Genomic DNA, 18,833 nt, shown 5'->3' with positions numbered 1-18,833 from the left:
TCACCATTGTTTAATCAGCCACTTCCATGTAACAAGAATGGTATAAGCATTGGTCATTCTAATCATGTCTTTTTGAATAAGCATTTATATTTCTTTCTGATTCTTTAGTTTATCTCATTGTATGATAAAGTCTGAATATGCCAATATTTTCTTATTTTGTAACATTTCATGAAGAATTTCTAGCATGTTACTTATGAATATTTTCTTGATATCATAGAGTTTACTTAGTCACAAAGTCATTCCCTGAGAGGTCTTCCTCTTATCCATAATTCTTAGTGATGTTTATGAGTATCAAATTGCAAAAAAAAAAACTCTAATTAAATTAGTTTTGGAAATATTGGGACAAACATCATGAAGCTGTTTTTATTGTGTGTTTTTTTCAGTTGCACACATTCTCGGAACTTTAACATCCATCTTGAATATCTAAACAAAAGTCTTGATGTTCCTTCATTCAATAGTTGAGGAAATTAATTTAATTATACATTTTAAAATATCTAAAACAGTATAATTGAATTTTGCTTTGTTTTTGAGACAGGGTCTCACTCTTTTAACCAGGCTGGAGTCCAGTTGTGCGATCATGGCTCACTACAATTTCCGCCTCTCAGGCTCAAACCATCCTCTTACCTCTGCCTCTCGAGTAGCCAAGAATACAGGCGCAAGTCACCAGGCCCAGCTAATTTTTGTAGAAACAGATTTATGCCATGTTGCCCAGGCTGGTCTTGAACTCCTGAGTTCAAACATTTTGCCCACCTTGGCCTCACAAAGTGCTGAGATTACAGGTGTGAGCCACCGTGCCCGGCCAAGAGTATAATTGAATTTTAATGCAAAGGATAAATGCTTAAGAGGATGGATACCCATTTTCCATAATGTGATTATTTCATGTTGCATGCCTGTATCAAAATGTCTTATGTACCCCATAAATATATACACCTACTATGTACCCATAAAAATTCAAAATTTAAAATTAAAAAAAATATATATATGTATATATTTGAAAAAATTAACCAGTGAAGCCAACTAGGCCTAACGTTTGCTTTATAGGGAGATTTTTTTGTGTGTTTTTTTTTTGCTTGTTTAATTATTTCTTATGTGCCATTTGAAGGAATGGTAAACCTATTTTATTTAAACTGTACAATAGGATATGTTCTGGCAACTGTATACAACCTTAAAACTGCAACCACAATCAAATTATAAAATACCACCATATTCCCAACAGATTGTTCATACCCCTTCACAAGCCCTACTTCCTTTTACCCTTGGTCTCTGGCAACCACTAACCTGATTTTTGTTACTATATGTTAGCTTACATTTCATATAAATGAAATCATATGGCATATATGCTTTGCTGGGTTGTTTTTCCTCTCAATATAATGAGTTTGAAACTCACCCATACTGTTGCACATACTGTCAATTTACTTATTCTTATTTCTGCATAGTATTTCATGGTAAAAGTATACCATGTTTTTTTTATTCATTCACCCATTAATGACATTTGGCTTAATTTCGTTTTATGGCTAATGTGAATAAGACCACTATAAATATTTACATATAAGTCGCCATGAAGATAAATGTCTTCATTTCTTGCTTAGGAGTTGAATTGTTCTGTACGTATGTGTATGTTTAAATTTACAAGAACCTACCAAATGTTGACAAAAGTACTTGTGCGATTTTATATTCCTCTCACTATGTATCAATGTTCCATTTTCCCAAATTATAATCTATAATTATTAATTTTAGTAATTTTAATTTAATTTTAGTACTTCTAATGAATGTGTAGTGGTAACTCCTCAGAGTTGTAACTTAACATCTCTTTGATGATCGATAATGTTGAACTTTTTTTTTGTGCTTATTGTCCTTGTGTATGTCTTCTTTTGTAGAGTGTATGTTTTAATCTTCTTCCCACCAAATATTTGTTTTTAAAATTGAATATTTTAAATATTCAGAATTTAAATGTCTTGTCATATATAGATAATATTTTAAACAAATTTCTCTTATTTAGTGTCTGGGCTTTACATATTCTTAATTATTTTTATTCTTTTTTTCTCTCTTTTTTAGATATTCTTATTTTTCTATTTTTAAATGTACTTTCTTTTTTTCATTAATCTTTCTGTTCCCAAGACCATCCAATAATTTTTATTTTAAATACTGTATTCTTTAGTTATAACACTTTTTATTCTTTTTTGTATTTTGTATTTCTATTCTAAAATTTCATATAGTTTTACTCACTACGATAATATTTTACATTGCTTCAATGAGCATATTTATAATACTTGAATTTATTTATTTATTTGTTCATTTTGAATTCCAGCTGGGTCATCTTGAGTTGTCATATTTTGACGGTCTGTTTCCTTAAGAATGAGTCACATTTTTCTGGCTTTTAAAAACGTGATACATATTTGAAACTTTGACATCATGTCGTTATGTTGTTTGCACTCCATATTCTGTTATATTGCTCTGAAAAGTGTTGATGGTTTTATAACAGGAACTTAATTTGCTTAGGCAGAAATTAGGAACTTCCATGCTTCTGGTGTATGATAGATAAAATCTCAGTTCAGTTTCTTAATTCTGTCTCCAAGGGGCTTTATTTTGCCTTATGTAATCATGGTTCATAAATGAAGCTGAAATTTGGACTGGTTTTATACACAGAAATAGGATTAACTCTTCTCCTGCACTCTCCTTGCTGGTGTTTTCCAAACACACACCTGTAGCTGGGCTCTTTCTTGCATGTTTTTTTTTTTTTTTCAACCAGAAAGATGGCTGGTATTTCTATGAGATTCTACCTGCCTGACACTGAAGTTGTTGAGATTATGGCTGCTTTTTTGGTAAAGTTGCAGAAAAGGAAACTTACTCCACACTTCTTGCTTGCTCCAGGTTTAACTAACTCTTCCACTAAAATTGTCTGCTTTTCTTTAGTTTCTAGATTCCTAAGGCATATCCAGAGTTTGTAAAAATTATTTTTGGAAGTATTGACTTATTAGGAATATGTATCTATGTATCACTATGGAGGGCATTTTTAGATTAATTGCAAAGTTTTTAATTGATAAAGGACTATACTGGTTTTCTTTTTAAAAAAATCACTTTTGATAGTTTGTTTTTCAAGGAATTCTTTCATTTTGTCTTGATTTATTATCAAAATATTATTTAAAATATTACCTTATTGTCTATTACAGCAGTGGTTTTCAACTGAACGTGGTTTTGCTCCCAGGAGATATTGGTAATATTCGGAGACATTTTTGATTGTCAGAACTATGGGTTACTACTGGCATCTAGTGGGTAGAGGCTAGAGATGCTAAACATCTTCAAATGTACAAAATAGCCTGCCATGAAAAAAAAAACTATGTAGTTCAAAATAATAATAAAGCTGAGGTTAAAAAAACTCAGTTTGTGGGATTGAATGTGATGTTTGTTCTTTGATTTCCTGTACTACTATTTTGTTGATTTTAATTAATTTTGAAGAATCCAGCTAAAAAGATTCATCAATTGTATTGCTGTTTTGAAAGAACCAACTTTTATTGTATTGAATTTTATTGTTTGTTTTCTATTCCATTGAATTCCATTCTCATTTTTACTGTTTTATTTATTCTACTTTCTTCAGGTCATACTTGCTCTTGTTTCTTTAGGTTTTTCCTAATATTAAAATTTAAAGCTATAAATTTCCCTCTAAGAATGCTATAGCTGCACCTCACAGCTTTTTTACAGATGGGTTATTAAAAAGTGTGTTTTTAAAATTCCAAACATATGAGGAATTTTTTCTAAATATTCTCATATTGGTTAAGTTTGAGTATAATTTGCTTTGGTTAAAGAATAGACTATCATACATTCTACTTCTATATTAATAGACATACTATCAATGATTTGAATCCTTAAAAATTTATTTAAAACAATTTGTATTCTGTTATTGAGTGGGTGGATTGTTTTATAAACATCTTTAGGTCAAGTAACTTGATAGTTTTGTTTCAATGTTGTATATCTTTACTGATTTTATATCTTCTTTATGTACCAATTACTCAGAGAATAGTGTCAAAATACCAACAATAGTTGGAGACTTTTCTATCTTTATTTTAAATTCTGTCAGTTTTTGTTGCATGCATTTTGAAGATTTGTGAGTTGCACTCAGACAGTCAGAACTGTTATGTCCTCTTGCTGAATTGATCTTTTATCATGCTGGATTGCCCTTTCATCCCTAGTAATATTCCTTTTTTTCTGCCACCACTTTATCAAAATTAATATAACCATCATAGCTTTCTTATGTTTAGTATTTGAACAACGTATATTTTTTCCATTCTTTTACTTTTAATCATTCTTTGCCTTCATATTTTAGACAGAATAAAGTTGAATTTACTTTTTAACTAGTGTGAGAAACCCTTCCTTAAATTCAGAGTATCTGGGCCAGTTATATTTAATGTAATTATCAATATTGTTTGTTGTTAAAGATTGATTTTAAATGATAATTTTAAATAATCATGTTATTTTTGTTTTATGGAATATGTCATTTGTTCCATTCTCCCTTTTATCCTGACTTTTTTGGGGAACAATTTTGTATTTCTTTGGATTGCATTTTACTTATTATTGGCCTATTAAATATGTATTTTAATTTAGTGATCACCATGTGGCTTATGTTATGCATCTTTAACTTCTCATAGTCTACCTTTAAATAATAATCATGCCACTTTATCTATAATGTTATGCTTTATAAGAGAATACTTTCAATGCCCTCAGTCAGTAATCAGTTATTTACTTGTTGGTAGAGGAAGAGGAAGTATCATAGAAGTTCCACCTTCATAGGAGTAAGCAGATGGTCTCTTATTCTTTCTTAATTTCCTCTTGTTCACAAATACCAATTAATTTTACAAGGCTAGCTATCATTTATGTTAATGTTTTATTTATTGTTCTATTGTTTCAGAGACGACTGTGTTATGCTTTTCAACCCCAGGGACTCTATAAGCTCTCATTTCAAGAAATTACCATTAATATATTTTCAGACTTCTGGAAGTATTATACAATAACTAAGGATTCATTAAACATCATAATTAAAATAATAGTGAGATAATTTTCTAAGTATTGGAGACCTTAGTGTCCTGTAACCATTGTGTTTACATTTTGTTATGGAAATCACATATTCTAAGAGCATTGGGAATTTGGGGATATGAACTCGTAGCCCTTGCATTTATTCTTTTGTGGTTGACGATTTGTAAATTGACTTAAAACAAAACAAAACAAAGACCACCTGTTTTAATTCTGTTAACTTGCTGCAGGATTCAATCATATTAAAAGATGAGCACAGGGTTCTTCAAACTACGGAAAGCATTCTAGTTATTCAATGTTGTGCACTTAATACTGCAAAAAAAGTTCTGTTTTAAAATCATGTAAAACACTGAATGATAATAACATTAAGAGTTCCCAATAGGGAGGTACTATTGGGAGCAAGGTGGGAGAATAGAAGGCTCCATCAATTATCCCTCCCTACCCCGCAAAGACACCAATTTAAAAAACAACCTCCATAAGAACCAAAAATCAGATGAGCACTCACAGTGCCTCTTTTTAACTTCATATTGCTGAAAGAGGCACTGAAGTGGTAGAAAAAAGAGTCTTGAATCACCAGTGCCACCCCTACCCCACCTCCTGGCAGCAGCTGCATGGCACAGAGAGTTAGTGTGACCTAGGAAGAAGGAGAGCCAGCAATTGTGAGGCATTGAACTCAGTGCTGCTCTTGTTATAGCAGAAAGCAAAACTAGATCAAACTCAGCTGATGCCTACCCACAGCGGGAACATTTAAACTAGCCCTAACCAAGGGGAATTGCTAATCCCAGAGGTTGGAACTTGACTTCTTGGAAACCTCACCACCACGGGCTAAAGTGCTCTGAGGCCACAAGTAAACTAGAAAACCAGTCTAGGCCACAAAGACTACAACACCTGGGCAAGTCCTAGTGCTGAACTGGGTCTAGAGACAGTGGATGTTGGGGAAGACACACCACACACTGAGATACCAGCTGGGGTGGATAAGGGAGTGAGGGAGTGTGGGCATCAGCCTTTCCTTAACTCTCAGCTCCTAAATAAACCACTTCCTTCCACTCCAGGAAAGGAGAGGGAAGAGTAGGGAGGACTTTGTTTTGCATCTTGGATACCAGCTCAACCACAGCAGCATAAGGCATCAGTCAGTGTCATGAGGCTCCCTTTTAAGGCCCCAGCTCCTGGACATTGTTAGACACATCCAGAGCCAAAAGAGAACCTGCTGCTTCGAAGGGAAGGAACCAGTCCTAGCAGAATTTATTACCTGCTAACTGAAGAGCCCTTGGGTCCTGAATAACCAGCAGCAATACCTAGGTACTATGTGAAGGGCCTTGAGTGAGACTAAGAGACTTGCTGACTTCAGGTGAGACTTACCACATTTCCAGCTGTGATGTCTATGGGGCAAGACCCCTTCTGCTTGACAAGAGTGGAGGGAAAAGTAAAGGGGACTTTGTTTTCCACTTTAAGTGTCAGCTTGCCCATGTGGGAGTAAAGCACCGAGCAGGCTCTTGAGGTCCCCATTTCTAGGACTTGGCTCTTGGACAAAATTGCTGGACCTGGCTTGGGCCAGAAGAGCCCACTGCCCTGACTGTTGAGTCTCAGGCCAGGCCACAATCACCAGAAACTGATTAAAGAGCGCTTGAAACTTAAGGGAAGATCAGTGATAGTCTAACAGTGTGTCACATGGACCTGAGGTGATGGTGTCCATGGGATGAGGCTCCTCTGTCTTTGAAAAGGATAGAGAAGAGTGGGAAGCACTGTGTCTTATGGTTTGAGTACCTGATCAGCCACAGTACAATAGAATACCAGGGAGACTTCTAAGGTTTTTGACACTAGTCCCTGGCTTCCTGAGGGCACCTCTGGACCCACCCATGGGCTGGAAGAACTCATTGCCTTGAAGAAAAAGATATAGGCCTGGCTCTCTTTGCTACCTGCTGATTTTGTAGCTCCAGGGCTTTGAGCAAACACAAGTAGTAGCGAAGAAGTTACTGCAAAAAGCCTCATGTGAGACTCAGTGCTGTGCTGGCTTCAGTTCTAACATGGCACAGTCATAACAGTGGTGGCCACAGGGGTCCCTTTGTCACTCCACCGTCATCACTAGGTGACTCAGAACAGAGAAAGACAGACTCTGTTTCTTTGAGAAAAGTAAAGGAAAAGCACAACAGTCTTTGCCTGGTTATCCAGATAATTCTTCCAGATCTTCTCCAAGACCATTAAGGCAGAATCTCCACAAGTCAGCAAGAATGAAAGCATTACTGGGCTTAGAGTCTACTCTAAAGCAGAAGCAGCTTAGATCACAATAACCAAGTCTTTTGAATGTCTGAAAAGCCTTTCCAAGAAGAATAGGTACAAGTAAGCCCAGAGTGCTACAATAAATGCCTAACTCTTTAATGCGCAGACACAATAAAACATCCTCTATCATCAACACCATGCAAGAAAATATGACGTCACCAAATGAACTAAATTAGACACAGGGGACCAATCTTGGATCAACAGAGATATGTGACCTTTCAAACAGCAAATTTGAAATGGCTGTTTTGAGGAAACTCAAAGAAATTGAAGAGAAGAAATTCAGAATTCTATCAGACAAATTTAACAAAGAGTTTGAAATAATTAAAAAGACCAGCAGAAATTCTGAAGTTGAAAAATGCAATTGGCATACTGAAGAATGCATCAGAATCTTTTAATAGCAGAATTGATCAAGCAGTAGATAGAATTAGTGAGCTTGAAGACAGGCTATTTGAAAATACATAGTCAGAGGATACAAAAGAAAAAAAATTAAAAAAACAATAAAACATACCTATAAGATCTAGAAGATAGCCTCACAAGGGCAAACCTAAGAGTTACTGTCCTTAAAGAGAAGATAGAGAAAGAGATAGGGGTAGAAAATTTATTCAAAGGGATAATAACAGAGAACTTCCCAAACCTAGAGAAAAATATCAATATTCAAGTACAAGAAGGTTATAGAAAACCAAGCAGATTTAATCAAAAGAAGATTATCTCAAGGCATCTAAAAATCAAACTCCCAAAAGTCAATGATAAAGAAAGGATCCTAAAAGCAGCAACAAAAAAGAAACAATAACATGCAGTGGAGCTCCAATATACCTGGCAGCAGAGTTTTCAGTGGAAACCTTACAGGCCAAAAGACAGTGGCATGACATATTTAAAGTACTGATGAATAAAAACTTTTACCCTATAATAACCATAAAATTGTCCTTCAAACATAAAGGAAAAATACTTTTTCAGGCAAACAAAAGCTTACGGTATTTAACAATACTGGAACTGTACTTCAAGAAATGCTAAAGGGAGTACTCAATCAGAAAGAAAAGGATGTTAATTAGCAATAAGAAATCATCTGAAGGTACAAAACTCACTGGTAATACTAAGTACACAGAAAAACAGAATATTATAACACTGTAACTGTGGTGTGTAAATTACTCTTAAGTAGAAAGACTAAACAATAAACCAGTCAAAAATAATAACTACAATAAGTTTTCAAGATGTAGACAGTACAATAAGATATAAATAGTAACAAAAAAGTTAAAAATTGGGAAGATAAAATTAAGACATACAGTCTATATTAGTTTTCATTTTGTTTATTTGTTTGTTTATGCAAACAGTGCTAAGTTTTTATCAACTGAAAATAATGGGTTATAAGATAGTATTTGCAAACTTCATGGTAACCTCCCAGCAAAATGTACCCAGTGGAGACACAAAAAATAAAAAGTAAGAAACTAAACGATATCACCAGAGAAAATCACCTTCACTAAAATGAAGACAGGAAGAAAAGAAAGAAGGAAGAGAAGAACACAAAACAACCAGAAAACAAGTAACAAAATGGCAGGAGTAAGCCTTTATCAATGATAACATTGAATATTAACAGAATAAACTCTTCAATCAAAAGACATAGAGTGGCTGAATGGATTAATAAAACAAGACCCTTTGATCTGTTGCCTACAAGAAACATACTTCATCTTTAAAGACACACATAGCCTCAAGATAAAGAGATGGAAAAATATATTCCCTGCCAATGGAAACCAAAGAACAGGAGTGACGACACTTGTATAAGAAAAAGTAGATTTCAACACAAAAACTATAAGAATATAGTTTTTCAACAATATATATATATTGTTGAATATATATATATTCAACAATATATTTTCAATTGTTTCAATTTCAATATATTTCAATTTCAAAATATTTCAACAATATATTTCAAGAATATATATTTTCAACAAAATATCAAGAAAAGAAGGTCACTACATAATGATAAAGGAGTCAACTCAGCAAGAAGAAACAACAATTTTAAATATATATGCACACAATGCTGGAGCACCCAGATATATAAAACAAATATTAATAGAGCCAATGAGAGAGATAGACTTTAATACATTAATAACTAGAGACTTCAATACCACACTTCACTTTCGACATTGGACAGATCTTCAAGACAGTAAGTCAATAAAGGAACACTGGACTTAATATACACTATAGACCAAATGGATCTAATAGATATTTACAAGACAATTCATTTAATGGCTGCAGAATACACATCCTTTTCCTTAGCACAGAGATCATTCTCAAGGATAGACCATATGTTACATCACAAAAAGTCTTAAAACATTCACAAAATTGAAATAATATCAAACTTCCTCTCTGACCACAATGAAATAAAACTAGAAGCAAATAAGAGGAATTTTAGAAATTATGCAAACACATGGAAGTTAAACAAAATGCTCTCAAATGGCCAGTGAGTCAATGAAGAAATTAAGAAAAGTAAAAAATTTCTTGAAACAATTTTTTTTAATTCTGTGTACAACAGCCAGAAACAAAATTAAATACCCAGGAACTAACCAAAGAAGGAGCTCTGCAATGAAAACTATAACACACTGATGAAATAAATTAAAGAGGACACACAAAACAATGAAAGAATATTCCATGTTTGTGGATTCCAAGAATCATTATTGTTAAAATGTTCATACTATTCAAAACCATCTGAAGATTTAATGTATTCCCTATCAAAATATCAATGACATTCTTCACATAAATAGAAAAAAACAATTCTAAAATATGGAACCACAAAAAACCCAGGGCAGCCAAAACTACCCTGAGCAAAAAAACAAAACTGGAGGAATCACATTACCTGAATTTAAATTATAATACAGAGTCACAGTAACCAAAGCAGCATGGTTTTGGAATAAAAATAGACATGTAGACCATTGAAATAGAATGGAGAACCGAGAATCAAATCAAATCCCTACATCTACAGTGAACTCATTTTTGACAAAAGTGCCAAGAACATACACTGAGGAAAGGACGGTCTCTTCAATAAATGGTGCTGGGTAAACTGGATATCCATATGCAGAAGAATGGGACTAGACCCCTATTTCTTGCCATACAGAAAAATCAAATGAATGAAAACTCAAACTATGAAACTATTACAAGAAAACATTTTGGAAACTCTTAAAAGACATCAATTTGGGCAAAGATTTCTTGAGTAATATTCCATAAGCACAGGCAACCAAAGGAAAAGTGGAGAAATGGGACCACGTCAAGTTAAAAACTTTCTGCACAGCAAAGGAAACACTCAAAAAAGTAAAGAGACAACCCACAAAATGAGAGAAGATATTTGCAAACTATCTATCTTACAAAGGATTAATAACCAGAATATACAAGGAGCTCAAACAACTCTACAGGAAAAAATTCTAACGATTCTATTAAAAAGTGAGCAAAAATTTAAATAGACATTTCTCAAAAGAAGACACACAAATGGCAAAATGACATGAAGAGGTGCTTAACATCATTGATCATCAGTAAATGCAAATCGAAATTATAATGAGACAGTTTTCTTACCTCAGTTAAAATGGATTTTATCCAAAAGATAGGCATCAACAAATGCTGACAAGAATGTGGAGACATGGGAACCCTCAAATACTATTGGCTGGAATGTAAATTAGTACAACCACTATGGAGAACAGTTTAGAGCTTCTTCAAGAAACTAAAAAATAAAGCTATCATACAATCCAAAAACCCCACTGCTGAGAATATACCCAGAAGAAAGGAAAACAGCATAGGAAAGAGATATATGCACTCTCATGTTATTTGCAGCTCTGTTAACAATAGCCAAGATTTGGAAGCAACTCAAGTTTTCATTAACAGATGAATAGATTTTTAAAAATATGGTACATTTACACTATGGAGTACTATTCAGCCATAAAAAATGAGATCCTGTCATTTGCAACAACATGGATGAACTGGAGGTCGTTATGTTAAGTGAAATCAGCCAGGCACAGAAAGACAAACTTCACATGTTGTCACTTATTTGTCAAATCTAAAAATCAAATCAATTGAACACATGGAGATAGAGAGAGTAGAAGGATGGTTACCACAGGCTGGGATGGGTAGTGGGAGGTTGAGAGGGAGGTGTGGATGGTTATTGTGTACAAAAAATAGTTAGAAAGAATGAATAAGGCCTAGTATTTGATAGCACAATAGGGTGACTATAGTCAACAATAATTTAGCTGTATGTTTTAAAATAACTAAGTGTATAATTGAATTGTTTTTAACACAAAGAAAGGATACATGCTTGAGAAGATAGATACCCCATTTTTATAATGTGATTATTACATCTTGCATGCCTCTATCAAAACTTCTTCCCATGTACCCCATAAATATGCACAACTACTATGTACCCACAAAAATTAAGAATTTTTTTTAAAAAAGAAACTAAATTAACCTCTGAAGACATCAAGTAAGACCTGATCCCAATGCTTAAGTAATCAGAGCTTAGTTGTACAGGCGTACACATTAAGACATAATTAGATTTCCAGTTTGGATAAGAGGGTATAGATTCATTTCTTTCCATTCCTCCCAACTATTCAGAACTATAAACCTGGTAATACAAGAAGCAACTGCAGGAGAACTCCGCAAAGTGGAAAGTGAAAGGTTAACTAGTTTGTAATCACAAAACAGGAAGATAAACATAGTATCCCATGGCCTTTACAAGCCTCTACCCAACAGAAAGTGGCTACCCAGCCCAAATGTGCCAAATTTCCACTATAGCATTGAAGGGCAGCCCAAGTAGTTCATTCCTCCCCTGAATCAAATAGGAATTCTGTCAGCAATATCAGGGAAGCAAGGAAACATATGCAATGGGGAGTGACCAAGACCCATGCTAAAAATAAGCAACCAAGAAATGTGAGCCCCTTCTGCATAAAGCCTGAGATTCTGCTTTCCCACAAAGAAACGCTGAGCAGTCAGGAAGCACCAGCAATGGGGAGCCACAGCAAGCAAACTAGCCGTATAGCTGGGGAAGCTTCTTTGTTCCTGTAGATATGAGACTCTCCTCACTCATCAAGAGGCTGGGTGAGTGGGTGGCACTGGCAAAGGGGGTCCAGCTGCAATAAGAATCTACCCCAGAAGCACTCTATCCCCTGGGAAGAGGGAGACTCCTTTCTCCACCTAGAGGAACCAGGCAGCCCAGTTTTCGGAGACTCCTTCCTCCTCTCAGGAAGCGCTAGCAGGGTCTAGCAAGAGCCTAGTGCCATCAAATAAACTAAGCAGACAAAAATAGCAGTGTAAAGACTATAAAGGCAAAATTGTTTAAAAACAAACCAAAAAACACAAAAAATAGGAAGTCACAAATGTTGGTGACAATGTGGAGAAATTGGAGCCCATATATTGCTGGCAAGAATGCAAAATGGTACAGCCACTGTGGTATCCATTTTGGTGGTTCTTCAAAAATTAAACATAAAATCATTGCATGACCCAGCAATTCCACTCCTAGGTATATAACCCAAAGAATCAAAGGTGTTCGAACAAAAATGTTATACACAAATATTCATAGCAGCTCTATTCACAATAGCCAAACTGTGGAAACAGTCCATATATCTATCAATTGATGAATGGATAAACAAAATATGGTATTTCCATAAAATGGAAAATTATTCAGTTATGAAAGGGAATAAAGTCCTCATACAGGCTACAACATGGATGAAGCTGGAAAACATTATGCTAAGCAAAATAAGCCAGGCACAAAAGATCATGCATTCTATGAATCGATTTATGTGGAATGTTGAACTGGAATTTTTATAAAGACATAAAAAGTAGAATCATAGTTGCTTAGAGCTGGCTGGAAGATAGGGAGGTGTTTCTGAAATCACCTTCTCTTTGTATAATGAATTATAAAAGGATAATGGATTCTCTTGGTATAATGAGTTACACAGAGAAGTATAAGGGATTCTCTTGGTATAAGGACAGTGCTCTAAAATTGACTGTAGTGATGGTTGCATATATCAGTGATTATACTAAAAACCATTGAAGCACACAATTTTTAAAAATTGGATTGTTGCTAGAACCATAGCCCACAAAATAAGCCTGGAGCTGTGTGCTAAACCTAAGCATGTAACTGCTTATAAAAATATAAGATTTATTTATTTTTGTTGTTTTTGTTATTGTTTTTTGCTTTCTTTTCTTCTTTTTTTTGAGACAGTCTTACTCTGTCACCCAGGCTGGAGTGCAGTGGTGCAATCTTGGCTCACTGAAACCTCCGCCTCCCAGGTTCAAGTGATTCTTCTGCCTCAGCCTCCCAAGTAGCTGGGATTACAGGCACCTGCCACCATACCATGCCTGGCTAATTTTTTTTTTTTTTTTGTATTTTTAGTAGAGATGGGGTTTCACCATGTTGGCCAGGCTGGTCTTGAACTTCTGGCCTCAAGTGATCCACCCACGTTGGCCTCCCAAAGTGCTGGGATTACAGGTGTGAGCTACCATGCCTGGCCTAAAATAAAAGATTTAAATAGAACCTAGAGTCTCCTAATATAATCATCAAAATGTCTACAATACAGGTAAAAGTAACTCATCATAACAAGAAAAGAAAATCAACTAATGGCAATATCAAGATGAATCAGATACTAGAATCATCTGAAAATAATTTGAAAGTAGGCTTCATAGAGGTGCTTTAACAAGCAAATGAAAATTCCCTTGAAACCAATAAAAATACAGAAAAACATAGCAAAGAAAACTAATCTCTGACAAAGATGTTTAAGAATATAGGAACTGAGCTTAATTTTAGGACGTGAGGTAGAAAGGAGTAGAGGCAGATTCTCACTTTCACTCTATAACTTTTTGCATTATTTGAATTATTTTAAATGAGCATAATCTATTTTTTAATAAAATTTAAATTCAATTTTCATAAAATTACCTAAATTCCATTTTGAAAAGTGATTCTAGTATTAAGATTTCTCCCTTTTATCGTGAGTACCTGAGATAATTGTTCATGGTTTTACATTGAAGTCACAAAAAAATGAACTAGTGGCTTTCCTCATAAACAGGTTTATATGTGCCACAATTTCAAAAAAAGAGAAAACCGGTACATAGCTATCACCACGAAAAAAAAAAAAAAGTGGGCTGGGCGCGTTGGCTCACACCTGTAATCCCAGCACTTTGGGAGGCCAAGGCAGGTGGATCACAAGGTCAGGAGTTCAAGACCAGCCTGGCCAAGATGGTGAAACCCATCTCTACTGAAAAATACAAAAATGAGTCAAGCATGGTGGTGGGTGCCTGTAATCCCAGCTACTCGGGAGGCTGAGGCAGGAGGATCGCTTAAACCTGGGAGGTGGAGATTGCAGCAAACCGAGATCACGCCACTGCACTCCAGCCTGGGCGACAGAGCAAGACTCCATCTAAATAAAATAAAATAAAATAGTTCCCAATAGACCTGATAATCACTGCTAACCATCATTTAACCGTTACTATGTGTTGGACAAGTAGGCCTGCTGAGAACTCCCGATGTTATCATCATTCAGTTTCAAGTATGTACATTTTGCTGCATCATATTCAGTGGATTCTCAGCTATATTCTTAAAGTTACTGCACAAATATATACATGTATATTATAGATATACATGACAGAGGAATCTTTGAATCTACAACAATCACAATTAGGAGCTTTTATTTATCCACCTCCAGTACAGTGACCAATTATAGAAAATCTGTTATTAATTGGAACTAATGGCAACACTTGTATTTCTATGTCTCCACTAAATAAATTATAATAATTATATAAAATATTTGAAAGATATACCACAAGACTGTTATACAGAATATGTAAAAAGTTTCCATAAATAAAAAAGTCAAACCAATACAGAAATTGAATAAAGGATAAAAATAGAAATTTTACAATGAAAAAATGTGAATGACATAAGATAATGGTTAAGGAAATACGAGTTAAAAAATGAAGTAATATCAGTTTTCCCTCAGTATAAAGCAACTTTTTTAAAAAAGATATTATCTCATATTATTAATTTTCTTTGAGAGATAGGGTCTTGCCATTTTGACCAGGCTGGTCTTGAACCCCTGGCCTCAAGTGATTCTCCTACCTTAGCCTCCCATGAATGTGGGAATACAGACACATGTCACTGTACCCATTTTATATTATCAAAAATATTTTTAAAGTAATTAGTCTCATTCATTTTGACTTAAAAATAATTTGTTAATAAAAACCCTTAGAAATATGCTTAAAGACCTGAACTGAGATTTTAGCTGTCATACCCCAGAGGCATCAGAATTTGTAATTTCTGTCTAATGAAACACTCTTTAAAGGAAATTTGGCATTATTAAGTCAAGTAAAAATTGTATCTGTGTTTCCTGGATGATTTGTCTAGAGGGAAAATATACGGTGCATATGAGGTGACAATAGAGACTCTAAGCTTTTGAATGAGTATTGGCCAACATCTTGTTTACTTAGAACAGAAAAATTCCTACAAACACAATTTAAAGCATATAGGTTTTCAGTAACTTAATGATTTCTAGATACAAACTGCATCCATCTATGCAACCTCTGACCCAGCTCTGGAGAACTGCTGCCTGGGCTTGCATCCTCTTTGGCCTTGTTCATACCTAACATAACTATCTTAAACTTAACTTCTCTGAACTTCAGCCTCTTTATCTGTAAAATGGGGATATCATAGCAACTTATTCAGAATTATGAAGATTAAATGTGATGCAAAATGCTTAACATAGAGTTTGACACATGGTTAAACTCCAAATACATGTTAATTACCATTATTATTGTGAATATTTTACAGTAATACTTCATTCTGTGCATAAAGATGTACGTGTGGCTGGGCGCAGTGGTTCACGCCTGCAATCCCAGCACTTTGGGAGGCCGAGGCGGGTGGATCACAATGTCGGGAGTTCAAGACCAGCCTGGCCAAGATGGTGAAACCCTGTCTTTACTAAAAATACAAAAATTGGCTGGGTGCGGTGGCAGGCGCCTGTAATCCCAGCTACTCAGGAGGATGAGGCAGGAGAATTGCTTGAACCTAGGTGGCAAAGGTTGCAGTGAGCCAAGATCACACCACTGCACTCCAGCCTGGGCAACAGACTGAGATTCTGTCTGAAAAAAAAAAAAAAAAAGATGCATGTGTAAGCTCCTCTGAAATCATTGTTTACTGTTTGAGAAATGTTAACAAAGTTGCCATCAATAATAGGTCAATAGTTAACTAAGTCACCACGTATCTATGGAAAATTTCATAAAATGTGACACTCGTTTTTGAAAAGAGAGTTTGATCTCTAGGCACTGACTGGAAAATAGCCTCGAAAAACAGGTAAGTGAAAACAGCAAGTAACAAAAACAAATATGTAATATGACATGTATGTGGAAAAAAATATGTGAAGTCATTCACCAAACTGTGATCACCAGTTAGCTGTAGACAAAGGAGAAGGAGTGAAGGGGTTGTAAAAGAACAGTCTGAACGTTACAGTCTGCAAACTTCCGTATAATGATAATCTACTCATATATCAGTTGTGTAATTAAAAAAAATTAAGCCGAAGTCCCTAAAAACTTCTGGTGTTCTTTCTTGGTTTTCTGGTGCCCAGACTGGTTTTACTTGGGCCATGAAGCTCATTTCATGTTATGTTTTTCATTCTTGTCTGATAGTTGTGCTTAGAGTTAACTTTCTCAGCTCTGATCTCTTCCCCAATACAATCTTCAAATACAATTTTGGGCAAGAAGCTTTCGAAGTAACTAATCCTAAAATAACTAACTAGTTGTGGTTTCCTGGGGACTTACCTACTTTCAGCACTAAAAGTTTTGTTATCCTTTACCAGACCTTCTCTTTAGCAATTGCGTCTCTGGTTTCTTCATGTCAGAGATGATAGTAATGATATATTTGCAGAAAATTTTTTTTTACAAAGTAAACATTATTTCCTCTTTGGAGATAATCTTATTTCTCTCACTATTTTATAATATCTATCATGGCATACACTGTATCAATTTGTAGCACAGTAAAATCTGTATAGCTTATGTTCCTCTAGGATTTCACAAGAAAATCAAAGATCTGGAAAGTGGGTACCCTGGGAAGTATATTTGTAAAATGCCTATTCACTGTGTGTTTCTATGCATGCACTGGAGCTAGAATTACCCTAGGGAACAGTATAATAACAGAAAGAAAGAAGACAAACGTTCTGCCAAATAAAAAGAATAAATTTTGCAAAAATAACTTGTAGTAAATATCCACTTCTACTTAATTTCCTCATCTATGATATGCTTTGACATTAATTTGCCCCCCACCACACACACACATACACTCACACACACACACGCATGCACACACCAGAAAACCAAAAAGCTACAGTTATGTTTTCTGGCTGCTTCTTCAAATGGTGAAATGCCAGGTGCAAATGAAGTGACAAGAAAGTATAAGTATGTTTTTTATTGAAGAATATTTGACATTCTGTTTGGTTAGAAGGAGAAATTTATTACACTGTTAAAACATTTTCAGTAACATTTATTTATTATTATTTTGACATCTGCAATAACAGTTTTATTTCTTCCTTTTAAATCATTTTACTTGATGTATATAAATTTAAGATTGTCATAACTTCCTTTTCAATTGATTGTTTTGACTTTATGAAATGCCCCTCTTTTTTGTGGGTACATAGTAGGTGTATATATTTATGGGGTACATGAGATATTTTGATACAGACATACAATGACAGACATCAAATATTTTGATACAGAAATACAATTTTGATACAGGCATACAATACAGATATTTTGATACAGACATACAATGTGTAATAACCACATCAGGGTAAATGGGGTATCTGCTACACCCTTCGTTCTGTTACAAAGAATTGAATTCTAGTTTTTTAGTTATTTTAAAATGTATGATAAATTATTGTTGGCTGTAGTCACCCTGTTATGCTATCAAATACTACAGCCGATTCATTCTAACTATATTTTCCCACCCATTCACCATCCCCACTCTCTCCACTCCACCACTATCCTTCTCAGCCTCTGGCAACCGTCACTCTTGTGGTTTTCCATTGAATTTTATCTCCATGAGTTCAATTGTCTTAATTTTTAGCTCCCACAATTAACTGAGAATATACAAAGTTTGTCTTTCTGTGCCTGCTTATTTCACTTAACATAATGACCTCCAGTTCCATCCATACTGTGGTTAATGACAAGATCTCATTCTTTTTTACAGCTCAATAGTACTCCACTGTGTATGTATACTACATTTCCTTTATCTATTCATCTGTCAGTGGACACTTAAGTTGCTTACAAGTTTTGGCTATTGCGAATGCTGCTGCAGTAAACATAGGAACACAGATATCTCTTTGATATATAGATTTTCTTTTTGGGGGGTATAAACCTAGAAGTGAGATTGCTAGATTGTATGGTAGTTCTATTTTTAGTTTTTTGAGGAACCTCCACACTGTTCTCTATAGTGATTGTACTAATGTCCACTCCAACCCATTGTGTACAAGAGCTCCCCTTTTTTTCACATCATCACAAGCATTTGTTAATGCCTA

The sequence above is a fragment of the Homo sapiens genome, chromosome 2 (assembly GCF_000001405.40).
Source record: "Homo sapiens chromosome 2, GRCh38.p14 Primary Assembly".
Lineage (NCBI taxonomy): Eukaryota > Metazoa > Chordata > Mammalia > Primates > Hominidae > Homo > Homo sapiens.
This window is presented reverse-complemented; position numbering follows the sequence as displayed.